General features: G+C 45.9%; 1 protein-coding gene, 1 long non-coding RNA gene and 1 pseudogene across 3 annotated transcripts in view; 1 reads left to right on the plus strand and 2 right to left on the minus strand.

The window, feature by feature from the left end:
* Positions 1-920: 920 nt before the first annotated feature.
* Positions 921-25,879, plus strand: VXN (vexin). The gene is made up of 6 exons (NM_152765.4): positions 921-1,073; positions 3,792-3,847; positions 12,730-12,883; positions 17,451-17,512; positions 20,895-20,992; positions 23,248-25,879. Exons 1-6 carry the CDS (start codon positions 1,004-1,006, stop codon positions 23,429-23,431), a joined length of 624 nt encoding a protein of 207 aa, NP_689978.2. The 5' UTR covers positions 921-1,003; the 3' UTR covers positions 23,432-25,879.
* On the minus strand, positions 8,560-8,666 carry RNU6-1324P (RNA, U6 small nuclear 1324, pseudogene; annotated as a pseudogene).
* The window catches only part of LOC124901955 (uncharacterized), a 35,981-nt gene continuing 21,805 nt past the window's right edge, over positions 13,540-27,715 (minus strand). Inside the window, exons 2-4 of one of the 2 annotated variants that reach the window (XR_007060951.1) lie at positions 21,552-21,709; positions 17,994-18,111; positions 14,590-14,973 (exon numbers count right to left, since the gene is read on the minus strand). This is a non-coding gene — a long non-coding RNA (uncharacterized LOC124901955). Of the gene's footprint in view, positions 14,974-17,993; positions 18,112-21,551; positions 21,710-27,715 lie in introns of both variants that reach the window. The other variant, XR_007060952.1, reaches the window with a different exon arrangement.

Here is a 27,715-nt window from a genome sequence, read left to right on the forward strand (position 1 = left end):
ATTTATAAGATAATAAATATATAGGATAAATGTATTAGGATATATAGGGTAATACAAATATATATAGGGTAATACAAATATATACATATGCTATATATACATATATCATATATACAAATATATATGATATATATACATACACAAATATATATGATATATATATATACACATACATATATACATATGATATACATACATATATAATAAATATGATATACGGGACAGTATATAATCTGTAACCTGTATATGTAGCATAATAGGGTTTATATAATATATTAGGATATATAGGGTAATACAAATATAACTTTCTATAATTTGCTCCTTGAACATGGGGCACTGCCTGTTGCCATGTCTCTGTGAGCACCTAAGGGTTATACGCGGAGGTACCAAACACAGGACCCTTGAGAAATGTCAGCCTTGTCATGTAATGGCATGAGGGGAAAACACTGGAGAAACAGTCCTTTTGTTTAAAATAGAAACTTCTAAGAGAGCCAAGTTAGCACATGACAAATTACTGAATATCCCGTTCTCCTGGAGGGGAGAAAAAAAAAAAAGCCCCTTCATTTCTGAAATGAGAAAGGGAATTGCTGGTACCAAAATTCACGTTTCCTTTTTGGTGGAAATTCTCCAGCCAAGCTTGGCGCTAACAGAGTAGGCGATTTCACTTCGTCGTCACCTCACAAAAGGCTTCCAAATTCACTGCGGCAGACACCGCAAAATAAAAATGTTAAATACATCCTAGCTGGGAGGGGATTGAAGCCTCCAGGCTCAATCAAAGGTTTGCAATAATAGGATTCATTTAAAAAAAAAAAAAAAAAAAAGGACAGATGGGTTTAGAAAATGTTGCAGTGAAGACTGGAACGAGATGAGCTCATAGCACCAGCCTGTCTTTTGTGGACCCGCACAATGATCCCTGAGCCAGACTGGATTAGGATGCCTCGCGACTAGGGGTCCAGAGACAGAGGCCTCCAGTTCCCAGGCACTTCGGGAAGAGGAGGCTGAAATGATGCATCAGATTTACAGCTGCAGTGACGAGAACATAGAAGTTTTCACCACCGTGATTCCTTCCAAGGGTGAGTGAAATTGCCCTTGACTGTTTCCTTAACGTGGCATCTTAGGCAGGAGGGGAAGGACAGTCACGTGCTGCCTTACTACGGTTTATCCTCAGGTCTCTGGGGTCTGATGGACTCTCGGTTTTGATGGTATTTGATTTTTTGGAGGGGGGAAAGAGGCACAAGGATAAACATCAATCACTGAGAAACAATCCATCAAGGGGAAGGCGAGAGCAGCTAAATACTCCCTGTCTCATTTAATTCAGTACCAACAGTCCAGTACACCAATGGAAGTGACAGCAAGCCATTGCTATGCACACAGGTGAAAACAAAATCCCAGGGTAGCTAGATAGAGACTTTCATTTTTTCCAGTGAGCAAGTGGGTTCTGAAATGAGAACAGCTGGCTTAAAAGTATGATTTCTAACTGTGCCATGCAAAGTGCGGAGAAATACTCCCGGTGGCTGCTTGAAGTCCAGTGAAGCCGTCAGAGAGCGCCCTGACCCTGGGCTGGCTTCTCCACAGAACCCAGGGCCACCTTGCAAACTTAACCCGGAACTAATGCTGCCAGAGAATGCGACACGAGAGTCTTGACTTTATAAGCTCTTGTGGTCCTCAGTGAACGGTGTTAAGGGCTTTGTGTGAGGGTTCTGATGACTCCAAGTGTCTGGTTCCTGGTCAGTCCCCTCAGCCTCTCCTAAGCATGGCCCCCTCTCCTGCCGCCTCTGTTCTCTGCCTGCGCTCCTGTCTTGCCCCCTCCCATCCACCTCCATGACTCAGGCTTAGCCCCTGGTCTCATTGTCAGCCTTGAATGAAGTAGGCTGGGTGTTTGCTGGTGTTGTGAGCCCACATTCAAACAATTCCTTTCTTCCCCTGTGTCAGCCGCTGACAGGGCCATTGCACAGTGGGGCAGGGAGAGATTCCGTTTGGCCACAAAGAGACAGCCTGCAGGACATAAATTAAGCTTTAGACATTTACTGCCAGATCCAGAGAGAGGGAAAAGAGCTGGGAGTCTGCTGCCCACGTGCAGGAGTTGGAATTCCCTCTGGAAACTCTGAAAGTCCAAGTTGACCCTCGGAATCAGCAGTTTCGCTTTTGGGTGGAACTCCTCTTACCCCTGGATGTTCACGGTGGCATTGATTCTAAGAAGGCACAACTGAAAATAACCTGAGTGTCCATGAAGAGGGGAATGGTTAAAATGTGGTGCTGTCATGCTGTGGAATACTATACAATGTCAACAGGAATAAACTAGATGTATGCCTGTGAACATAGGTAGATCTAAGCATAATGCTGAGTGCCAAATAAGCAGGCTGAAAAATTATATATGTAAGATAGCATTTCTGTAAATTTGAAAATATAAACCAATACTATATATTGTTTATGGATATGTATCTAGAGAAAAATACAAAAACATAGACCAGAAAGATACAGATAAAATTAGTGATCTCAGTAGTCTTGGGAAGGTAGGGAAGGAGAATTAGGGAAGGGTAGAAAGAGAACCAAAACATTGCCTCTGATTTTGTATTTCTTGTATATGAGAAGAAAACAAAGTAGAAGGAAATATGAAAATGTTACATGTGTTTATTTTCTATCATTTACTTCCATTTACAAAATTTTTAAAGGAAGAAAAAGTCAAAACGAAGTGGTTAAGAGACTGCTGCCACTTCTGCACTGTGTGACCTTGGGCAAGCTACTTAACCTCTCTGGGCCTGAGTTTCCACTGCTGTAAATGGGAGAAACAACTTATCTTCCAGGATCATATGGGGAATAAATGAGTAAATATATAAAGCATCTAGAACAGTAGCTGGCATGTAGTAAGCACCATTAAATACATCACTTAAAAAGTGATTTCCAATTTTATTTTGTATTTAGAATAATCAACATGATCAGTCAAAGATAAATATTTAATCTTATCTTTTTTCCCTTCCCATTTTCATTCATGGCCACTTCCTTGTGGTACAAGAGTAGCTATCTTGTGAAGTTGCTGTAAAACCTTTTCCCAACCAAGTAACATGTTTAATGGTTAATTTCTTTAAGCTTTTTTATAATTGTGGCAAAATATGCATAACAAAATGTACCATTTTAAAAACTATTTTTAAGTGTACAGGTCAGTGGCATTAAGTCTATTCACATTGTTGTGCAACCATCACCCCCATCCATCCTAGCACTTCTTCATTATCCCAAACTAAAACTCTGAATCCGTTGAACACTAACTCATTCCCCCACTCTTCCAGCCACCAGTAACCACCATTCTACTTTTTGTCCTACAAATTTGGTTTTTTGTCCTTTTGTTTGTTTGTTTTTCTGTCTCTATGAATTTGACTACTCTAGGAACCCCATATTAAGAGGAATTGTAGACTATGTGACATTTTGTGTCCGGCTTATTTCACTTAGTACCATGTTTTCAAGGTTCATCCATGTGTGGCATGTATCAGAATTCCATTCCTTTTCAAGGCTGAGTAATATTCCATCACATACAGACACCATATTTTGTTTATTCATTCATCTGTTGGTGGACATTTGGGTTGTTCCCAAACTTCAGCTCTTGTGAGTAATGCAGCTATGAACTTTGTACTCAAGCCAAGTAACATCTTCAATCGCAACGACCCTGTCTCTTTTTCCCGTCCCCTCCTCTATGCCCCTGCCTCGCCACAGATTCAAACCTTCTCAGTGTTGTTACTGTAGCTATGTCAGCCTCGCTGATGTTGTCTAAAACCATTTCTTTCTCTCTGTCTTTGCAGTATCCAGTCCAGCCAGAAGAAGAGCCAAAAGCTCTCAGCACCTCTTGACCAAGAATGTAAGGAAACTTTAGTTTTGATGTTCTTTGGTTGACTTTCATTTAAAAAGCAATGCCAGGCTTCTTCTTCACTCTCGCTCCCCAGCTCTCAGTGGCCAGGAGGGTTTCAGTGTTCCATGTGGTGCGTGCTGCACTCTCCGTTCTCCACTTAACCAAAATAATTGACAAATGTCAACCAGACACCAAGTGACCCTGAACTGGACCACTTATTCTGCCATTTTCTCCAGGCACAGAGAGTAAGACTTGTTTTATGCACACTTTTTTTTTCTTGTTTAAACAGAGTTCACGATGTGGACATAGCATTCCTGATCTAGGTGTTTTCCTATTGTTGGCATTCGTAATGTTCCATTTTTTTACTATTATTAATAGCACAGCAATGAATGTATTTATATAAAATACTATTTTTTTTTTGAGATGGAGTCTCTCTCTGTCGCCAGGCTGGAGTGCAATGGCACAATCTCTGCTCACTGCAACCTCCGCCTCCAGGGTTCAAGGGATTCCCCTGCCTCAGCCTCCCAAGTAGCTGGGACTACAGGCGCACGCCAGCACGCCTGGCTAATTTTTTGTATTTTAGTAGAGACGGGGTTTCACCATGTTGGCCAGGATGGTCTCGATCTCCTGACCTCATGATCCATCTGCCTTGGCCTTCCAAAGTGCTGGGATTACAGGCATGAGCCACTGCACCTGGCCAAAATACTATTCTTTTGGATTAATTCCTCAGAGCATAGGCCTCAAAGTAGAAAAAAAAGGTAAAAGGATAAGAACAATTTCATCCATCCATCTACTCCTTCATCAAATATTTGCATTCCTACTGTGTGTGACAAACATTGTGCTAGATGTAGAGAATTGTGATTTGCTCAAACTAGTTCTTTTTACAGTTTTGTCACATACTGTCAGGAATTCTGAACAATTTGGGGGCTTCCAGTAATGCTTGTCCATTTACCACCAACATCACCAGCATCGGCTTTCCTCTTTTTGTATTATGTTTTGCTGCTTTAACATGCATATGCATTACTCTAAAATTAGCTTACATGTCTTTAGAGCCTAATAATGCTGTGCAATTCCCATTTTATATATAAATTTCTTTACATAAAACTGGCAGTACATCTTTGCGCTTTAAAGTTGAAACTGAGTTGTCTCCTCTTGGTTGTACTGGAGTTTCTATTTCTATGACAATTTTTCATAGGATAGCATTTCAATTTTTGAAGTATCTCAATTTTCAAAAGCCTATTCTCCATTAAAAATTTTTTTCGACTGGGCACTGTGGCTTACACCTATAATCCCAGCACTTTGGGAGGTTGAAGCAGAAGGTTAGCTAGAGCCCAAGAATTCGAGGCCAGCCTGGGCAACATGAGACCCCGACTCTACAAAAAAGTCAAAAAATTAGCCAGGCGGCCAGGCGCAGTGGCTCACGCCTGTAATCCTAGCACTTTGGGAGGCTGAGGTGGGCGGATCACCCGAGGTCAGGAGTTCAAGATCAGCCTGGCCAACATGGAGAAACCCCATCTCTACTAAAAATACAAAAATTAGTTGGGCATGGTGGCGCATGCCTGTAATCCCAGCTACTCAGGAGGCTGAGGCAGGAGAATCGCTTGAACCTGAGAGGCAGAGGTTGCAGTGAGCCAAGATTATGCCACTGCATTCCAGCCTGGGCAACAGAACAAGACTCCGTCTCAAAAAAAAAAAAAAAAATTAGCCAGGCATGGTGCTATGCTCTTGTTGTCCTAGCTACTTGGGAGGCTGAAGTGGAAGGATCATGTGAGCCAGGGAGTTCGAGGCTAGAGTGAGCCATGGTCATGCTACTGTACTCCAGCCTGGGCAAACAGTGAGACCCTGCCTCAAATAAAAAAAATAATAATAATGTCCTTTGAATGAGATGGAGTTTTACTAGTTGTTGTTTCTATATAACATGTACATATACTATACATGTAAATGTATACATGTATATAAATGTATTACCTTTTTATTTCCAAAAGCAGTATATGCTATATAAAATTTTATACAATACAGTAGTCCCCCCCTTATCTGCAGGAAATATGTTCCAAAACCTCCAGCGGATGCCTGAAACCATGGATAGTACTGAACCCTGTATCACTATATCCTTTAAATCTTTTGTGTGTGTGTGTGTGTCCTTTAAATCTAATAACCAAGATGGCTACTAAGCGACTAACAGGTGGGGGTTGTCCACAGAATGGAGACCCTGGACAAAGGGATGATTCATGCCCCGGGAGGGGATATGCAGATTGGTGTGAGATTTCATCACACTGCTCAGAATAGTGCAAAATTTAAAATCTATGAAATATTTCTGGAATTTTCCATTTAATATTTACAGACTCTACTTGACCAAGGGTAACTGAAACCATAGATGAAAGGGACTACTGTATACTATCAGCAAATCCTGAGAAGCTGCAGAAGAGAGGGGTTAGGTATGTAGACTTCAGAGTCAAATGGCCTGGGTTTAAATCCCAGTTCTATCCATTTCTAGCTATGTGACCTTGAGCAAGTTGCTTAGCTATTGTGGAATTCAACTTCCTTAGCATTAAATGAGGATAATAAGAGAACATTTCTCAAGAACCATGGGAAGGAGCAATGATTTTTTTTCTTCTGCAACAAAAGCCACATTTATTTTTTTATTTTTTTCTCTTTTTTTTTTGGCAAATGATTTAATGCATATAAAATGTTTAGTCCAGAGCCTGACACATATAAGCATTCAATAAGTATTGGGTTGGTTTTTTTTTTTTTTTTTTTTTTGGCGGAGGGGACAGGGTCTCACTCTGTCACCCAGACTGGAGTGCAGTGGCGTGGTCTCGGCTCACCACAGTCTCAACCCCCTGGGCTCAAGTGATCCTCCCTTCTTAGCCTCCCAAGTATCTGGGACTACAGGCATGAGCCACCATGCCCAGCTAATTTTTGTACTTTTAGTAGAGACAGGGTTTCACTATGTCACCCAGGCTAGTCTCAAACTCTTGGACTCAAGTGATCCACCTGCCTCTGCCTCCTCCCAAAGTGCTGGAATTTGCAGGTGTGAGCCACTGTGCCCAGCCAGTTTTGTTTTTTTGTTTTTTGTTTGTTTGTTTGTTTGAGACACAGTCTCACTCTGTCGCCCAGGCTGGAGTGCAGTGGCACCATGTCGGCTCACTGCAACCTCCGTCTCCTGGGTTCAAGCAATTCTTCTGCCTCAGCCTCCCGAGTAGCTGGGATTACAGGAACTCACCACCACGCCCAGCTATTTTTTTTAATATTTTTAGTAGAGACGGAGTTTCACCATGTTGGCCAGGCTGGTCTCGAACTCCTGCAATTTGCTTTTTTCTCTTAATAAATCTTGAATATCTTTCTATGCCAATTCATCTGTATAGCTCTACCTTATTCTTCTTTTATATACACATTTTTAAATCTTTATTTATTATTAATATTATTTTTCATAGGGTTTTGTCATGTTGCCCAGGCTGGTTTTGAACTCTTGGGCTCAAGCAAACCTACTGTCTCAGCCTCCCAAAGTGCTGAGATTACAGGCCTGAGCCACTGTGCCTGGCCTACCTCATTCTTTATAGCGGCTGTATAATACAACATTGTATGAATGCTCTATAATTTTTTTTACCCAAACCAAACCTGAAGTTTTCTAGATTCATTATTTAACCAAATTATCGATAAATAGGGTTCCCCATTTTTTCTATTAAACAATGCCACAACAAATTCTTGAACATATTTTTATGTTCTTAAATGATTCCGAGGATAAATTCATAGATATGAAAATCCCAGGCCAAAGGAGATACACATTGAAACAATTTTATAGCCACTGACAAATTCCTAGCAATTACATTTTAAAATACCTTTTCCAGAACAGCTGAGCCTATACTGTGTGGCATCAATGTTGTTAGTCTTTGACAATCAGATAGGTAAACATATCCTGTTTAATTTTATTTCTATAATTATTGATGTGATTCTTCATCTTTTCATAGATGTATTGATCATTTCAACATTTTTTCCCCTACGGTTTCTTACTCATGACTTTTGCCTATATTTCTCTCAGTTATACGCCTTTTTCTTATTTTAGATTTAGGGGGTATGTGTGCAGGTTTTTTAGATGAGTATATTGCATGATGCTGAGGTTTGGGCTTCTAATGATAGCATCGCCCAAGTAGTGAACATCTTACCCAATAGGTAGTGTTTCCACCCTTTCCCTCTTCCCTTCCTCCTCCTTTTCGGAGTTCCCAGTGTCTATTAGTCCCATCTTTGTGTCTGCCTGTACCCAATATTTAGCTCCCACTTATAAGTGAGGGCATGTAGTGTATAGTTTTCAGTTTCTGTTCTGTGTTAATTTGCTTAGGATAATATCCTCCAGCTGCATTGCATCCATGTTGATGCAAAGGACATGATTTTTTTTTTTTTTTTTTTTTTTGAGACAGAGTCTCACTTCATTGCCCAGGCTGGAGTGCCATGGCGTGATCTCAGCTCACTGCAACCTCCGCCTCCTAGGTTCAAGCGATTCTCCTGCCTCAGCCTCCAAGTAGCTGGGACTACAGGTGCCCGCCATCAGGCCCAGCTAATTTTTTTTGTATTTTTAGTAGAGACGGGGTTTCACCATGTTGGTCAGGCTGGTCCCAAACTCCTGACCTCAAATGATCCGCCCGCCTCGACCTCCCAAAGTGCTGGTATTACAGGTGTGAGCCACCACACCCAGCCAATTTTGTTCTTTTTTATGGCCGTGTAGTAAAAATACAGAATACTTCATGAATTTGCGTGTTACCCTTGCACAGTGGCCATGCTAATCTTCTCTGTATCATTTCAATTTTAGTGTATGTGTTGCTGAGGCAAGCACTGTATGCCTTTTTCGAGAACCTTTTGTATGTTAAGAAAGAGAAGTGTTTTTAATGGATGGAAAATTTGATTGTAGGGCAACTGATTCTGATCCTTCTCATGGTCCCTGAAAACTCAATCCCAAAGTCTAGAAGGAAAATGCTCCCAACTTTCAAGGAGCAATGGGTGAGGTGTTCTCAAAAATGGAAAGAGAAGGGGTTGTCTGTGGGTAATTTGGAGTTTAAGAAAGTTTCACCACAGATCTTTCAGTCTTTTGGTCAGGAAGTTTGGCTCTTGTCTTCCCATATTCAGTCTTCCTCCAGGTGGACAGCACAGGAGTGCTCTCTGGCTTTTTGCACTTTCCTCTGAATTTCTAATTTCCCCTAACAGTTTAGCTTAGCCCAGCCTCTGCTTGTAAAACTCAGCCCCAGCCACACAGACCATTCAAATTAGAAGAGAGGCAAGGTCTCTTAGTCCACCTCCTACTTTTGCAGATGGGAAAAGTGAGTCCCAAAAAGGAAAGAATTGTCTCTGGTCTCTTGTGTCCCCAACCAACTGACCCTTGGCTTCCCTTTGAGTCTTTGTCTTCTCCAACTTGGTGATCTAAAAGCAATTGTGATTGATTATCTTGATGAGGAAAATAATTCTTATTTTGCAACTGTACCATATTTACAACTTCCTATGTCCTCAAATTTGTATTTGTATCTCTTCTTATCCCTTAGACTACCATGTGAATGGATGTCAGGTTCCTTCTTCTCAAATACCTCTTTCCTCCCTGAGCAATCCTTAATATCAGCTTTCCTTCTTCTCTGATTCCTCTTGAATTGTATTTCTTCCAAATTCAAGGCAAAGCCTCACACTGTTCCTTCTCTAGACGGCCTCTCCAGTCTTTAATTTTTTTAATTCTTAGACAATTTTATGGACATTTTGACCATCCTGATGCCCACTATCATAGGAGTAACTCAAGGGGATAAACTTACACAAAGGTATGAGTCAGTTAAGCCTTCTGGCATGGAGCCACGACAATGAAGATTCGTGGCCCCTTCAGAATAAGCAGGCGGTCAGCCATCAGAAAAGATGGATAAATGAGATTGCAAAGGTCACATTCTTCTCAGATTTCAAGCTTGTAAGGAGGAATATATGTGGGGTTCTCCTGATTTTTTGAAATGCACAGAGCGCCGTGCACAGTGGCTCGCACCTGTAATCCTAGCACTTTGGGAGGCCGAGGCAGGTGGATTGCCTGAGGTCAGAGTTTGAGATCAGCCTGACCAATATGGTGAAACCCCATCTCTACTAAAAATACAAAAATTAGCCAGGCGTGGTGGCAGGCGCCTGTAGTCCTAGCTACTTGAGAGGCTGAGGCAGGAGAATTGCCTGAACCCAGGAGGCAGAGGTTGTGGTGAGCCAAGATCATGCCACACTGCACTCCAGCCTGGGTGACAGAGTGAGACTCCGTCTCAAAATAAACAAAAAAAGAAAAAGAAAAAGAAAAGAAATGCACAGAGCAACCAATTGCACTTGCACTTGTAAATTCCTATCTGGATGTAGGCTGTTCTTCTTCCTTTTTTTTTTTTTAAGATGGGGTCTCACTCTGTCCCCCATGCTGGAGTGCAGTGGCATGATCAAAGCTCACTACAGCCCCCACCTCCTGGGCTCAGGTGATCCTCCCATTTCAGCCTCCCAAGTAGGTGGGACTACAGGCATGTGGCACCACACCCAGCTAGTTTTTGTATTTTTTTGTAGAGACAGGGTTTTGCCATGTTGCCCAGGCTGGTCTTGAACTCCTGGGTTCAATGATCCGCCACCTCATCCTCCCAAAGTGCTGGGATTACAGGCATAAGCCACTGCGCCCAGCCTGAATGTAGGCACTTCTATATTCAGGTTTACCAAGAGCACCCACTTAGGAGGCACGAAACCATGGTTCTCATCCTGGCTCTGTCCCTTACAGTTCTGTGGTCTTGAGTAAGACACATGGCCTCTCTTGGCCTCAGTTTCCCTATGTATAAAATTAGGCTAGAATTGGGCTAGAACATTTCTGTGAATCCCCTCAGCCCCAAAGCATTGTAATTCTCTATTATCTCCGTCTTCTTGACTGTCTTTCTAACTGTCTATCAGAGATCTAGGTGACAAATAAGGAGAAGTGTGAATCAAAGACGTCAGCAGATGGGATCCTGAGGCTTGTGTGTTAGCCCGTGTCTTCTGCTTTTCCTATCTTGACCTCTCTATGACCAGCAAGGAAGTATTACTTTATTGTGATAATGCTTGTTACTCTAATACATTCCCCAACTTCAGCTGGCAGTTTGCTGACCTAAGAAAGGAAAATTCCAGCATTCAACCCTTCTCTCTCCTCCTCCCTGCTCATTAACATCCCATACCACCATCCTAATTCTCTAATCTTGCTCCTATACTCAGGATGCTAAAGAGCCTCTACTCAGACCAGTGTGTTCTAAGACCATCAGCAGCAAGCCCAGACTGTGTCCTATAGTCCAGAAAATAAACCAGGCTGTCAGGAGCCTCTCAGGAGGCCACATCCCATCCATTCAGCCGTCTGTTCCCTGGGACGGGCCTAACACACTGAGCTGCAACCATCTCAGAGCCTCCATTATTGTGGAAAATGAGAACCAAGTATCAGGCCCAGCTAAGAAACAGGAAGGCTCAGAGCTGGGCTCTTCTCCTCTTTCATTTCCTGCTACTGGCATCCTTTGGTGGGCTGGAGAAGAGGAGGCACTGTCCCCAGTCGCGACCTGGGAAATAACTGGCCTCCTTGCCACCCCCAGGAAACCTCCTACATCCATCTGGCTGCTGGGCTGAGCAGCTAATGCCACTCCACTCTCTCCCTCCCCATTCTCCCTCCCCACTGTGCAGAGAAGAGATGGGGAGGTGGTGGTTCTTGTTCCTGAAAGGGAACATTTGTCTCCCTTTCAGAGAAGGAAATATTGGAAGGCAGCGGCAGTCTTCCTGTGGACTCCAGGCTTCACATCCTGCCTTACTTCCTCCTTCTACAAAGTGGGTCTGAAAACTCCACAGCAGCCCTCACTCCTCCTTTCCGAGAGCGATGCTGAGAGAATGAAAATAAAATCAGGAACAGCTGTGATGAAAGGGCTGCCCACCACCGCCCCCCCACCCCCAGAATGAATGACCCAGTGTCCTGCCTATGTATAAACATGCAGGATCGAAGCCCAAACTACCAAGATTCCCCTTCACGACTCTCCATAGTAAGATAAAATGGCTACTATTTGTCTCAAGTTTTTACACTTAAATTATCTCAATGATTTAAGTATTTTTATTACAATTTTTTCCAAAAAAATACCATTTTTAAGGCCCATTTTGGTGGACTCTAACAGAGTAATTTCCCAGTATAACTACTCAGCAGGTGGTGATGACTGAAAACATTTTAGCATTGGGACCTTTGTTCCAGCTTATCAAGATTTCCGTGCACAGAACCACACACAGTGGAAATTCATCTCCCAGCTCCACCCTGACCCAGGCACTCTGCACTGGGAAGTGGGGACGCGGGTAGGAGAGCACCCCGTGCCCCCTGCTCCATTTTGCCAGCAGCTTCTTTATTTTTAAAAATCTGAGACTAAGTTGGGCCTGAGCCCTCTCCCTAGGTCTTCGCTCTGCTAGAGCATCCAAAAAGTTGTCCTCTGCATGAACAAGGGCGTTGTCCACTCAGCTACAAAGACTGTAAGACCTCGATCTCCAGAACTGTCCTGTTTCATTGCCTGTCCTGTTGTCAAAACACGTCAGGCGACCGGGCAGCTGGCCTGCCCGTATCTCTGGCCTGATGGCCCAGGCTCCTGACCCTGTGAAGGGCCTGCTGTTGAGGAACACCCCTGCCCGCTCCAGAACCCTCATTTGCTTGCCCCATGGCACCATTTGGCAGTCTGAAGTCAAATAAAACAGTCACTTCTGGCCGGTTTCCTGCCCAGATTTTGTCGCTGTTCCTAGAATTCACTGGAATCACGAAGGATCCAGAAACTCCCTCGATGCGAGCTCCATCTGCAAAGCTCCTGCCCTGGGGTTCCATGGGTCCCTAGGCCCGAGCAGAGGAGTGGGCTAACCGCGTTTCCCCCGCCCGGCAGGTGGTGATCGAGTCGGACCTGTACACGCACCAGCCCCTGGAGCTGCTGCCCCACCGCGGAGACCGCAGGGACCCTGGCGACCGCCGCAGGTTTGGGCGGCTCCAGACCGCGCGGCCGCCCACAGCCCACCCGGCCAAAGCCTCTGCCAGACCCGGTACGTGAGTCCCGGCCCCAGCTCCCCGCACCTCCCTGGGCGCAGAGACCCACTCAGAGCCACCACAAGCCCAGGTCAGGGCAGCGTTGGCGGTGGCTGCGGCCTCAGTCGCGCCAGGTGACCAAGCACCTGTGCTTTCCCAAGTAAATGCTGTTTCCACCACAAAAGCACCTGCTCTCAGGCCTCACCTTAGCCTCACACAGCATCTTCTACCTATAAAACAGTCACTCCTAGGTTTGCGTAATGAGCAAAGATGCTCTTATCTAATCTTTTTTTTCTTTTCTTTCATTGAGACAGGGTCTCACTGTGTTACCTAGGCTGGAGTGCAGTGGCAGCAATCACGGCTCACTGCCCTGGGCTCAAGCCATCCTCCCGCCTCAGCCTCCCTGGGACTACAGGTTCACAGCCACCATGGTCAACCAATTTTTTTTATCTTTAAAAGATGGGGTCTTGCTGTGTTGCCCAGGCTGGTCTCGAACTCCTGAACGCAAGTGATCCACTGGCTGAGGCCTCCCAAAGTGCTGGGATTACAGGCATGACCCACTGAGATGGGCTGTTATCTGCTGTCTTCCTCCACAGGAGGCCCTACTGTATTCTAGAGAGAGTGTAAATCAGAATGCTGTGGGGGAGAGAAAATCATGACCCATGAAGCAAAGGAGGATCACATAATTTATTTAACAGAGAGAGAGAGAGAGAGAGAGACAGTGTGTGTGTGTGTGTGTGTGTGTGTGTGTGTGTGTGTGTAAAATTGTACAGGCTCTTCATAAACTGCCATCATAAAATCTTACCATTCTAAATTTGAATAACCTAAACAACAATCTATAACAAGAGTGTAGGAGTAAGTTTGTCTTGAAAACTGGAAACATTATAGTTTTACCTTGGATGCTATTTTTTTTTAATGGCTTCCACCCCAAGCAGATAACCAGGAATCTGCCTCTAGCCCACCCAAGTCTATGGTGGTATTGTGCCTTTAATTGCTGGTTTAGGTTATTTCTGTTATGCCCACAACCTAAAGTTATTCATATTTTACCTCCAAAAATACACAATAGAAAGTCCAGGGTGTCCTTCTGAAAGCCTTCGGGCGTTGGCAACTTTGCATATTATAAGGACTGAAATAAGACTCTACTGCGTATAGTCCCTTCCTCCATCCAACTTTGAGTTTTCCATTTGTAGATGCTAGACCAGGCCACCAAGATTTCTTTGATTGCTAAGAACCTAATCCTGCTCCTCTGATCCTTTGCATAAGAACTCATACATCAAGCTATATTCTCTATTAAGTGGTTACATACACATATATGTATGCAGAGTTTGAAAGCATTAGGAAAACCACAATCTGCCTTGCAAATTAAGACGAGATAGATTTTTCTCTGTGTCTATATATAGGTGGGTGGGTGGGTGGGTGGGTGCATGTGTGTGTGGAAAGAAGAAGAGACAGAATATTTATCTTTTCTATAAAATCATAAAGTGAATTTAGAGCCATGCTTCTCAAATTTTAATATGCAAAAGAATCACCTAGGAATCTTATTTTTATGCAGATTCAAATTTAGTAGGACTGGGTAGGCCCCAAGATTTTATGTTTCTAACAAGCTTCCAGATGCTGCTGCTCTGGGCACAACATATTGAGCAGCAAGGATTTAGAGAGGATCTAATGTGGTGTTTCTCAAAGTGGAGTCCCAGGAGCAGCAGCAGCAGTCTCTGGAAAATTGTTGGAAATGCAAATTTTATTGAATTAGAAGCTCCAGGTTTAGGGAACATTAATCTGTATTTTAACAACCCTCTCCCCACCATCCCTCACTGCCTCCGCCCCACGTGATTCTAATGCACCCTGAACGTAGAGAGCCTCTGATTTACTGTAACTGCCCCTCTGCCAATTTCCAGAAGAAACCGAAACCATAGAAACTGTTTGACCTACCCAAGGTCGCATTGCTTGTGAGCAACAGAGCCAAGATTGAATCTCCGGTCTTTTGATTCCCTAGCTAGTGCCTCTTCCCCACAGGGAATGTCTTTCCAACTGTCGAGTTTTAAGGATCACTTTCATTCCTTTCTAAGTAGTTTGTGGAAGCTTGGGCTGCCTGAGTCAGTCTTTTATTCTGAAAGACAAGAGCAATAAGTTATGATATGGAGAGAATCTGCCCAGCACGTGACAGTCAGCTCATGCAGGAAATATGCCAGCGAGGTTTCAAAAAAAGAGAGAGAGAGAGAGACTGAGCTGGGGATTGGTTCAATTCCTTCACCTCCTCCAATCTGATAGATTCCAGAGTGGGTGGGAGGGAGGGAATGTTTCTGAGTCAAAGCCAGACCATCCTCCTGTCAAGAAAGGTGCCTGTTTCCAGGGAGCTCAGATTTTGGAACTGCTTTTTTCCTGGGCCATAGAAGGCACCTGGATGCAGTAGCCGTCTCACCTGGGAGAAAGATGCTCTGGGGAATCCTGGGAATTGTAGGAACTCTAAATGCAGAGACCTGACTGAGAAACTCTCAGGTGCCTGGAAATGGGGCAGTCCCCAGTCCTGGGCCTGGGAGAATTGGCTGCCTCCAGGACTTCTTCAGAGATGTCCTCAGGCACCTCAGAACCAACTTGTTCAAGCCTTTCCTCTTTTCTCAGTGGGGGCCATTATCCACCGTCCCAGCAAATCCCTGGGATGTTTCCCCTAATGCCTCCTTGTCCTCCCCACACCTTCGACATGAAACACTGACGGCATCCACTCCTAGGTATTTCTCTCCTAGCCCTCTTGGTACCTACCTCAAGCCACCCTGGCTCCCACTCCCTTCATCTCGGCTGTGTAGAGAACATCGTCAGTGAAGGGCCCAGCCTCCAGCCCCTCCCACCAGGCTACCAGAGAGGTCCACTTGGAGCAGAAATCTGCCCCTGTGCTCCCTCAGCTTTAAGTGCTGTGTCCGTTCCTGGCCCCTGCCCTCCAGACCACACTGACCTCTCCAAGGCTACCTCCTATGACACCCCTGTCCCCACCGTTCTATCACGTAGAACAGCCCTGAGCTGGGGGTAGTTCTGTGACAGCTCCATGATATCCTGCTTCCCAGCACTTTCCCTGACACTGTTCTCTCAGCAGATTGCCTTCCCTGTGTCTCTCCACCTGGCAAACTCCACCTTCTCCTAGCCGGGGTAGAGGGTTACTCAGTCAAGCCTCCTTAACCCTGCAAGACCACCCAAAGTCAGTTTGCTACTCCCTAAATCACCCTTACCTGGCTTCATCATAACTGTTATGTATCTCTAAAGCCTCGTTTCCTTGACTAGAAAGTGCGGACTATTCCAAACCAGCCTGGGCAACATGGCGAAACCCTATCTCCACAAACAAAAATTAGCCGGGCGTGGTGGTGTGCACCTGTGGTCCCAGCTACTCTGGAAGCTGAGGTAGGAGAATTGATTGAGCTCAGGAGGTCAAGGCTGCAGTGAGCCAGAGATTACGCATGCCACTGCACTCCAGCCTGAATGACAGAGTGAGACCCCGTCTCAAAAGAAAAGAAAGATTGTGGTGAGGATTAAATGAGATAATACTTTTACGGTTTATGCTCAGCACAGTGCCTGGCGTACAGACAAAAATGTGAGCTGCTATTATTATTAGTTACGCCAGGGCTCCATTCATTATAGTTTAATCTTGGTAGTCTTGTAATACTTTATTTTATTTGCATTGAGGTGTTTTCTTGTGGAAGGGGAGTTATTTCTAGATGCTGTAGTACAATCAGATGGGGCTTGTCCTGGGACATCTGCCCCCAGAGAGACCTGTGCTGAAAGCCAGCTTTCCCCTACGTTTTATCAGCTACCTCAGCTCAACACTTGAATCCTTAGAAGCTTCAGAGTAAAAAGTACTCAGAATTAGGTTGGGGCATCAGGAATAAAGGCATTAGAAAGAAGGTTCTCTAAGGTTCTCCACCCATACATCTCGTAAAGCCAGTGTCCCAGGATTCTGATCTGATACACTCCAGTCCTTCCATGTTATGGGGCTGCACTTCCTTCCCAGCACAGGCATGACTTCTCTGCTCATTTTTAGAGGGGTGTCCACAGCACCGTGTTAAATAACTGATCCCAGCTATAAAGACTTAATTCCAAGAACCTGTTTAATCTCTTGTGATCTGAGGCCTTGGGAAGGAAGGAAGAGCTGAAGGCACATTCTGAGCACCTACTGCATGCAGACACAGTGCTAAATGATCCACATGTGTGATCTTATTTTTAAATAGACTTTATTTTTAGAGCAGTTTTAGGTATACAGCAAAATTGAGCTGAAGGTACAGAGGTTTCCCATATACCTCCTGCCCCCTCATACAAGCACAGCCTCCCCCCATCAACATCCCCCACCAGAGGGATATGTTTGTGATAGTCAATGAACCTACATAGACACACTGATCTTATTTAGGCCTTAGTTCCAGCTCCCCTAGAAGAGTGACAGTTGCCTTGTGGCCTGACCCTCCTGCCTGGTTTTGCTGCTTGGTACAAAGGCCTTTAGAAATTCCCTGGCGTGGTTGATTGGCTAACAAGGTAATTGATGCAGGGCCAGTGGGAGGCAGAACACAGAGTACCACTGAGTAATATCTCCTCTGTTCAACATTGCAGTGGGGATTTCTGAACCCAAAACATCAAATCTGTGTGGGAATCGAGCATATGGAAAATCTCTGGTAAGTAAAATAAGCCTGCTTAGTTGTATCTGTTGTGCATTAAACTTCTGGTCATGTCTGATTCTCCTGTGCCATGAAGAGAGACTCAGTGTTCTTTGTTCCAGGCCTGAGGATTATTAGAAAAGCATAACTGGCAGTTCTTTGCTCCCAAAAGCTCTCAGTTGGCCCTAATTTGTACCCTTGTGGAATATCCCTGGCTGCTTCTCTCTTTCTTGTGAGAAATTCCGCTCTTAGGCAAACAAAAGAAGCTATTATCCAATAGACATCTTATACATGGTGAGGGGTGGGGGCAGGATGGACTGGTTTCTATCACAGGACCCCGCCAGGTAGAAATGCCTGACTAATTCCCAGGCACAGCCACAGGGGAAAAGAGAGGCGAGGCTCTCGAGCACTATGAAACACAAAACACCAGTGTCTTAGTTAGCACAGGCTGCTGTAAGAAAATACCATAGACTGGGTGGCTAAAACAACAATTTCTCACAGTTCTGGAGGCTGGGAAGTCCAAGATCAAGGTGCCAGCAGATTCAGTGACTGGCGACGGCTCTCTTTCTGGCTTGCAGATGACCACCTTCTCACTGTGGGTTCACATGGCCTTCCCTCTGTGCATGTGGGGAGAGGGAGATACCTGGCATCTCTTCCTTTTGTTATAAGGGCACTGATCTTATCATAGAGTCTCCACCATCATGACCTCATCTAAACCTAATCACCTCCCAAAGGTCCTGCTCCCAATACCATACATCCAGGACTAGGGTTTCAACACCTTGTAGGGGGCTCCGGAACAAGCATTACCCACTCAGACTGGTCTGAGTCAGGCTGAAATGACCAAGCTTTTATGTTCCCTTCTCACTCCATCAAGGCATGTGGGCTGTCCCAGGAAGGGTGTGACCTTGACAAGGTGGCCCTCTACAGCCAAGCCCACCTGAAGGAGCTAAGAGCTTTCTGCTACCCACCCTGCTGTCCTCCCTCCCACAGCTGGGCAGCTGTCCTTCCTTGAAGGGGATGGGGTGGCACATTTTCAGGCCTATCAGTACATCTCCCTCATCTCTGGGCAGGAATGTCGGGTTCCCTCTTGGTTAGCAGAGTCAGCAGTGGCTGGAGGTGAGGTCAGCTCAGGCATCCTAGACTCTTTGAGTATCCGCTGTCAAGATCCATAGGTGGTGCAATGTGAGAACCGGAAGAGACCCAAGTTATTGTGCCAGGCCCTCATCGTCACAAACAAATTGGACAGAGATATGGGTGCTTCGCTCCTGGTCTGGGCAGGAGACCTAATCCAGGGAATCTCATTTAGGCCATCACTATTCTAGGAAAGCCACACACAGGGCTGTTTCCCCTTCCCCAACCTGGTACTTAGGGGAAACCAGGAGGTCTGGGCAGTTGATGTCAAGGGAAGATTATCAGGCTATGACAGCTCCAACAGCTGCCCTCACCTGAGCCAGAGAAAAAGCAAGGTCAAGAGGAGGCAGGTAGCTTATGATCTTTGACTGCCTGGCCCCAGCCCTTAAGCTGGCTTCAGACAGTGCCCTTGGCAGACAGGCAGTGACAGCAGGAGTCCAGAGGAAGCTGGGAGGGGATAGGGTGGTGATGGGGATGTAGTTACAAAGAGGAGGAATAAGAATGAAGAGGAAGAGGCCAGGCACAGTGGCTCACAGCTGTAATCCCAGCACTTTGGGAGGCGGAGGCAGGTGGTCACCTGAGGCCAAGAGTTTGAGACCAGCCTGGCCAACATGGCGAAACCCCATCTCTACTAAAAATACAAAAATTAGCCGAGCGTGGTGAGCCATGCCTGTGATCCCAGCTACTCGGGAGGCTGAGGCAAGAGAATCACTTGAACACAGGAGGCAGAGTTTGCAGTGAGCCAAAATCTGCCACTGCACTCCAGCCTGGGAAACAAGAGTGAAACTCAGTTTCAAAAAAAAAAAAAAAAAAGAATGAAGAGGAAGAGGAGGCAGCACAACAGACCCTTCCTCAGGCCTGGAGATAGTGGGGCTAGGGTCTCACAGCTTATCAGAAATCTGTGACACCAGCATGGGAGAGCAATCCAGGGCCCACACAGCTAAATCCAAGTCCGTGCAAAGTGTGCTGGGTGAGATTGGCCTAAGGAAAGGGGAAAAGAGTGGGAACAAGTCCTTTCACCCAGAGATAAGGGGGTGCAAGTGTTCACCGGCCCATGGCATAATGGGAAGGAAGCGTTTGCACGGACCACAAGGTGGCACAGCAGCTCTGCCCACAGTCGGCCAGCTTGGGATGGGAGGAGGGGTGAAGAAGGTGCCCTTGACCGGGAATTTCCAGCAATTTTAGGAATGTGGTGACTTGAAGCCTTGGATAGGGCTTAGGGGGAAGAACACAGCACAGAGTGTGTCTATTGTCTAAGCAGCCTCTGGACTTAGCCCTGTTTAGGCCATTGGTTAATTTTCAGTTAACTCTCCATGTTCCTGAGTACTTGTCACTCCTTTGGGAGGGCTGAGGAGGGCTGCCAAGGGGTCCAGTCCCAGACCCTGTTACCCACATAGACACTCAGTGCTGTGGGGACCTGAGGACAGAGAAAGATCAACTTGGGCCACCAGCCTCAGGGAAGGCTTCCTAGAGGAAACAGCCTTGAAGGGGAGACAGATGAGGCCTCAAGTCAGAGGGTGAAAGAGGAGATATTGCTGTGCCAGCATCAGAGAAGGGAGCACCCGCTGCTGGGAGCAGAGCTACTGACACACGGGACCAATGGGAGGCCGAGCTGCGTAGATAGAGGGCGTCCTGTGCTGAGGAGCCTGGAGGAGCAGCTGCAGAGTCAATCTGCCCTGCAAGGTGGGTGGGCGGGGTTGGAGTGCCTTATGCTTCTACAGTCCAAGGAGGGGCATGAGGAATGTGGTGGATCTGGTCGGAAGCAAGGAGGTCCGAGGTCACTGTCCCTTGAAGGCTGCAGCGGAGGAAACGGAGAGGCTGGGCTGGCCCTACCCTACGTAGCCTAATCAAAGCAAGAATCTGCAGGATTTAGTAACAAACTGGACACCAGTGATGATGGAGGTGTGAGGGTGGCAGTTGCCATATAAGACTGAGCTGCGCGGTCTCCAGTTTCTCATTTCTCTCTCCTGAGTTTCTCTAGGTCAGTGGCTCAAAGTGGAGTCCCAGGACTAGCAGCACCAGCACACCTGGGGAATTGTTAGCAATGCAGATTCTCAGGCCCACAGCAGACCCACGGACTCAGAAGCTGGGGTGGGGCCTGGCACTGTTTATCAAGCCCTCCAGGGCAGTCCCACACCTGCTGAATGATGAGGACTATGCCCAGGCGGTGGTGGTTCCATTCAGTCCCCCCACTTGCAGACAGCCTCAGTCAGGGCCAGAGTGGGAAGGCAGATGCATCCTCACACTCCCTCCCGCTTCCTCATGACAGATACCGCCAGTGCCCCGGATCTCAGTGAAAACTTCAGCCTCTGCCTCATTGGAGGCGACAGCCATGGGCACAGAGAAGGGAGCTGTTCTGATGAGAGGGTAAGTGCTGCGTCTCTGGCCCCACTGCCTGTGGCCTCCCACTGTCCTGATCCTTCCTTCCCCAGAAGAGCACCAGGCCGCCTGGTTGACAGACCCTCGAGAGGCCAACACAAACCCATGCCAGCTGCAAATTATCTTTTAATGAGGCCAATAATCCTGGGTCTCTGCAGCGCCTCATCAACTGTTTCCCTAGGATTAAGCAGGAGGGTTTTTCATGGTTTCCACTTCATTAACGCCACTCTTTAGGCTTGGAGAAGTCATTTGGGAGGTTTTTTGGTTAATTAGATGAATGTAATCACGAGCCATATTCAGAACCTCCCATAGGCATGCAGGCGTCAGAAATATCTCATGAGTAAGTTCAAGATCCCCTGCCCACCGGTTAAGAAGTGTGTCAAGTACAAAGGTTTCAAACCACACTTGAAACTGCAGTGAGACTGCTCGCTTTCATCCAGAACCGGCAGCTAGGGAGGCAGGAGCGGATAACCCCCGACACCCCTCAGTGACACTGCCTTCTGCCTTGTACCAAGACAGTGAGTCTTCAACTCGATTCAGCACATACCTGTATGCCCTGGACTACATCCTCCACACCGCAGGCAGCAGAAAAGGCGTTTCAGGGTGGTGAAGGGTTGGGTTATTTTCTCAGATCTGCTTTCTAGCCTGGAACTGCCACCAACCCACCACGACTTCAGGCAAGTTATTCAGCCTTCCTGTCCCCATCTGTTCAAAAACAAAAAGGTAAAACAGGAATCACAGGGGGTACCCATCTTAGGGGGTTGTGGTGAGAATTAATTTTTTGGTTTTTGTTTTGTTTTGTTTTGAGAGGGGGTCTCACTCTGTCGCCAGGCTGGAGTGCAGTGGCGCAATTTTGGCTCACTGCAACCTCTACCTCCGGGGTTCAAACAATTCTCCAGCCTCCCAAGTAGCTGGAGCTATAGGCGCCCGCCACCACGCCCAGCCGATTTTTGTATTTTTAGTAGAGATGGGTTTTTGCCATGTTGGACAGGCTGGTCTCAAACTCCTGACCTCAAGTGATCCCCCTGCCTTGACCTCCCAAAGTGCTGGGATTACAGGCATGAGCCTCCACACCTGGCCTGAGAATTGAAAGAGATAATATGTGGAGAGCTTAGCACAAGCTGTTGTCAACGTGTTTCAGGAAACTTATCTAGTAGTTGGGAAGCTATGCACTTGGGAACATGTTGGATGCAAGCAGGCGGGGCTCCAGACTACACTGTCAGCCTGAGCGCTGCACACTTTGAAAGCACTGGGAGGTCAGAGCAAGAACAGGCTAGTGGGGAGCACTTCTGAATGACAGAAGATTGGCTAGAAAGAATTATAAAAACCAAGTCATGTGTTACTCAATGTATGGGGACTTAATTGAAGAAAACAAACAAAAAAATTTTCTTTGATTCTGTTATATCCAATAAATATCCAAAAAGATTGGATCATATTTATTTTACCTTAATGAGGTACAATTTTTAAGTGGCAATAGCTGTTGCTGGCTGCTGGTGTAAACCAGCAAAAATTTCACTGTGCCATGACAGAGGCCAACCTTTCAGTCCACGTGGCTGCGTTGCAAAGGGTTCTAAATGGCTCCCTTCTCTCTAAACTCAGTCATTGTCATTTCAATTTGTTCCTGGACCCTAGTTACAGAAAAGAAAATTAAGCCCACCATTTCTTTCACCTAAGGGGAGCAGGGGTTAAGGCATGAACACATGTTGAGGCCCACAATGTGCCAGATGCTTCACTCTTTCATTTGCCTCCTCCAAAAAGCCCCATGAGTTAGATGAGATTATCCCCATTTTGCACATGAAGAAACTGAGGCTGGTAAAGGTTAAGTCACTTGCCTGAGGTCACACAGCAGATGGGAAGCAGGATTCCATCCCAGACCTCATGCTCTTTCAATAGCTACTGTTTGGGGAACTGTCCTTTCCAGCAAGTTTGTTCACATAGAGGCTGAAGGGGTAGGTATGCAGAGCCTTTGGCAAGACCAGACCCAGAGCAGGGGGACAGTAGCAGAACTTGAGATCCCATGAACCAGTGTGTTCAGGGTCACCTCCTCCATTCATGCCATGGGAAGCTTTCCCCAAGGGAAGACGTTCCTGTGAGGGTCCCAACAGTGACCTTACAGCTACGTGGATCCCGGTCACTGAGGAGGAGCAGAGGAGAGAGAGCTCTGGCCACTCTTCTTAAGGGCAAAAATGAAGTTTGGCTTGTGAGCAGACCACCCTCCCCACCCACTCCTGGCTTTTCTTTAGATCCAGACATCTCAAGAAGATGACTGAAGAGTATCCAGCCCTTCCCCAAGGAGCAGAAGCCTCTCTACCACTGACAGGCAGTGCTTCCTGCGGCGTCCCCGGCATCCTCCGGAAAATGTGGACAAGGCACAAGAAGAAGTCTGAATATGTGGGAGCCACCAACAGCGCCTTTGAGGCCGACTAAAGGTGACCCTCTTCAAGTGCCCTGTGTTGGCCAAGGTTCCCCGGACAAGAGGAAAAACCTTCAGGATTGAAACTGAGCCACACGCACCTCTGCTAGTAGCTGGTCCAAACCCATTATCCTCCCTCACTCATTGATTACCCTGGGATAGGGCACAGGAAAGAAATGTCCCTCGAAGGCAATATAAAACTGCCCCTTCTTAGAATTGCTAAAGCCATTGGTCTGAAAGTGACTTTGGGAGGTCATAAAGTTTGTATCTCTATCTTTAAGCAAAAAATTAAACTTTCCCAGCTCATTTTAAAGACCTCCAAGGAAGGAAAAAAGCAATTCCTCTGTCTTCCTTGTGAGTTGCTCTAAAGTGTGTGATTTTCTAGTGTAAATGGACTTTGAGGCACTTGTAAACACAATGGTTCTTACTGTTTCCATTACTGCATTTACTTCACCTTGACAAGGTACAATTTTCAAGGACAAAGCACTATATATAAAGTTAGTAGTTCTAATATCCACTTGAGAGTATACTCAAGATTGATTTTCATGGCCATTTGGCATGATTGCATGAATTCTCTATTCTTTTATGTGCAGTTTTTCTATAGAAAAACATTAAAAGTTAAATGTTGACTGCTAATGTTTTCTGAAGTGGCATAGTCTAGTGGAATCAATAATCCCTTGCTTTGGTATAATAATTTGAACTTTTGAAAGTGCTTTCTCATCCGTTATCTCTTATCTTCACAAAACCCCTGTGGAAGAAAGCACAATTATTCCCAATCTGCAGAGGGGGAAATGGAGGCCTTCAGAGATTACAGGACCAGATACCAGGTAGTGGAACCAGACAGCAGGTCCTTAACTTCTCTCCAGTGGACTCCCTGCTTTGCCTACTCTCTAGCAACTGACTTGGGGAAGTTTTTAAATGGTGAGAGTGTGTCTCTGGGGGCAACCATTGAAAAGAAGACTCTGATATGTTGGAACAAGTAAGGGATTTGAATGAAATACACTATTATATCTTATATGTTAGCTTGAACCAGAAAAAGTTGACATTTTTGTAGGTCAAAAACAATTGAGCATCAATTTCATATGGTTCAACCTCATATATGATACTATGCTTTTCTTCTATCAGTGAAAATGTCATCATCAATTCCATTGTCAACATTAGTAGCCTTAAAACAATAACATAATAATAATGATGATAATGATACTTATAGCTATCATCTATTAAATGCCTATGTTTCAGGCATGATACTAGGCAATTTATATATATCATCCTAATCTTTCTAAAAACTCTATTAGGTGGCCCTATCCACTTAATAGATGCCAATTCAAAGAGGTTAAATGATTAGACTAAGGCACCTAACTTATGTGAGTGTCAGGCTTCAATGCCTGTGTTAGAGCTACTCCTTCACACAAAATAGTTCAGAACATAGAGAAGGACCAAGGTTAATAAATGATTTTCATCCCAAACACTAAACATGATTGATGGGTAGAGGCTGCCCGAAGTACTGTGTAAAGATGGAATCTGAGATAGAAGAATGCTGTGGTCAATTAGTAATTCTTGCCCATGGAGGGATTAGTGACACATGCCTTGTATATTTGTCATCTGTGGCCTAAACTCTGCCCCTGAAGGTTTGTTTTCTAATTCAGAGGTTTAAATTAATCTAGCCCACTTAATAAAACCAGAGATCCTATGGGAAATTTAGCCTAAGACAGTGCTGGAAATTGCCATATGTTGATACAAAGAAGTGTTTGGCCACATTACAGGTCTCAGACTCAACTGCTATGTGTGACTGCCGCTCTGTGCCTATGTCTTGCTTTTTTGCTGAGTTCCCTATTTCCATATCTCCAGGTGAATCCATGAGAAGCGAGAGGGTGGCTGAGAGGCCTGGGCCTCTGGGATTCCACCTTGCTATCTCTGCTCTTCAACCATTGTTTTAGACTCTGAACACCAGATCCTCATATCTGAAAGTGATTTGGAGACCTGGGCATCAAGTGCTCTTTTAAGAAGGGGCTATCCCAGAGGACTGTTCAAAAGTCTCATTCAATAGAGATGTTGGAGTCCAGAACAAAGTTAGGGAGCAAACCAGTAACCTATGCTGGTCGTAACAGAGGATCCTACAATTACGTTTGTTTTTAAGACAGGATTTTGCTGTGTTGCCCAGACTGGTCTCAAACTCCTGGGTTCAAGAGATCCATCCTCCCACCTCAGTCTCCTGAAAGCTGGGATGACAGGCACATGCCACCACACCTAGCTCCTTACAACCATTTATTTTAACTTATTTCATTTATAACTGGTATCTTTCATTTGTATGTGGCAGCTAGAGATTTATATAGGATGGAAGTAATTTATTTTTAATTTAAATATTTCATGTTGAACTGTTTGCCTTGTATGGAACATTTTACTTGGCCAATTCAAATAAAAATAAAGTCAGCTTTGTTTGTGACATTCATGCACCACCATAAGAGCATGCCTGAGGCTCCCTTGTTGAATAAAAGAGGCGACTTTCACGAAGGGAAAGAATTAGGAGCCTGTACCTCACTGCTCCTTTAAATGAGAGGGATGGTAAGAAAGAACCCAGCGTGTTCTTTCCATCCTAAGGCAAAGTCTGGTTTTGATATTACGGGCACTGCTCAGCAGTTAACAGGAGGGTCACTTCTGTCAGGGCCTGGACTGGCCTGACCTGTCCCCCCTGGGGTCAACCTCCTCCTGCTGATGCTGACTCCTTGGTCCCCACCATAAGCCCCAGGGGGTCCAGTGGTTATTGCCAGCCTGCTAGTCTCTCACCCTTGATGGGAGGAAGATGCAACCTTCCTGCTCTGTGCCCACCTCTTGTTCAGCCTCGCTAGAGACTGCCCCCATGACTCATGTCACAGCCACTTGCAGAAGGACGCCAAGGCTCGCTGCAGCAGGCCGTCCGGGAATGGCCAAGCCTGGAGTCTTCTCGAGCCAGAGGCAACAGGGTTTCCAGGACATTTAGGGTAATAAAATCGCCTCTGTTAGGACCCAGTCCAGTCAAATATTTCTGTTCTTACTTGAGCACTCACTGTGGCGGTTCCCCCACCCCACCCAGCACTCAGGTTGTCTTTTGAGCTGGCAGATGGGCAGTGGGTAGGAAAAGCAGCACCAGCCAGAGCCTGACTTTAAAAGGAATCATGTGACACGTTGTCTCCTTGAAATTGGCAGAGACCGAAGGACAAGCAAGGAAAAAACACAGGCAGAAAGATGACTCTCCTAAGGATTAGAATTTGCATTGAGTTTTGCAAACCACTGAGAGCTTTGTGATTGAATCCATCACCACAATGCGCAGCAAGAAGGCTCTCATTCTGCAGACCAGGCCACATGCCTAGAAATTTATTTAAATTTTTTGTTACTTTGGACCTGGGACAATATTCATACCTTTTAATACCCTTGGTCGGGAGGGAGCAGGGAGGGTGAGAAATGGCAGCAGAAGGAGCCTGACATGCAGCAGGTCATCCGTTGGGTAGCTGAGCTGCACCAGCCACGTCCCTATGTCCTCGTCGGGGAGCCAAGCCAAGAGGATCCCACTGCCCCCATTGTGGGCCCTTCCCACACCCCTCAGACTTCTCAGGACCTGGGCAGTTTTGGAGAGCCAAGCGCCATCTCCCCAGGCCTGGGCTGGCCCCTTGGAGCACAGTTGCCATAAGGCTCATCTGCCTTCCCCGGAAAAGTTGCCCAGAGGAGCCCAAAGGGGGATAGGAGGGACCTCACTTTTCCAGGAAGGACCAGGATCTGGACCCTGCCTGGCCCAAATTAGGCAGGAGTACCCAGAGTTCTGAGCAAATGCTGACCAACGTTTTGGACTGGATCCACAGAGAAGCACACTGAGTTTTCTATTCAGCTGCCTGAGCCCTGGGCATTCTTCAGAGAGAGGCCCCAGTTCATCTTCAACCAGACTCCTCCGAGCTCAGGATTCACCTCAGTCAGGCAATTGAATGATTGGCACAGGGTCTGGGGACATCAGGAGTTAATCAGCAGCCCCCAGTGGACAAGACACAGCTATTTCTAAAATCACAAATGCCCCAGTGACTGTTCCAAGTGTGACCACACTTCCCAGGTGACAACATTCAGATAAAGGCAAGCAGGAAAGCAAACAGTGGGAATGGTTTTATTGCCTCACCAGGACTAGTTTGGCCACAACAAACCCTGCTGAGGGTAGGCTTGCTCTCAGTTTCTCAGTGTCTTCACCCACACCCCACAGTCCCCCATCTTCCCTGTTCAAAACACACACACACCCCTTTTCTTTCTGTTCCTTTCCCTGGTTTCCCCCACATTCTGCT

This window comes from Homo sapiens, chromosome 8 (genome assembly GCF_000001405.40).
Source record: "Homo sapiens chromosome 8, GRCh38.p14 Primary Assembly".
Classification (NCBI taxonomy): domain Eukaryota; kingdom Metazoa; phylum Chordata; class Mammalia; order Primates; family Hominidae; genus Homo; species Homo sapiens.

Excerpts from the sequence above, each read along its gene's own strand:
- VXN (NM_152765.4), top strand. The coding sequence starts at position 1,004 with ATGATGCATCAGATTTACAGCTGCAGTGACGAGAACATAGAAGTTTTC. Across the intron at positions 1,074-3,791 it reads CACCGTGATTCCTTCCAAGG|TATCCAGTCCAGCCAGAAGA; the intron begins GTGAGTGAAATT and ends CTGTCTTTGCAG. Across the intron at positions 17,513-20,894 it reads GAGCATATGGAAAATCTCTG|ATACCGCCAGTGCCCCGGAT; the intron begins GTAAGTAAAATA and ends TCCTCATGACAG.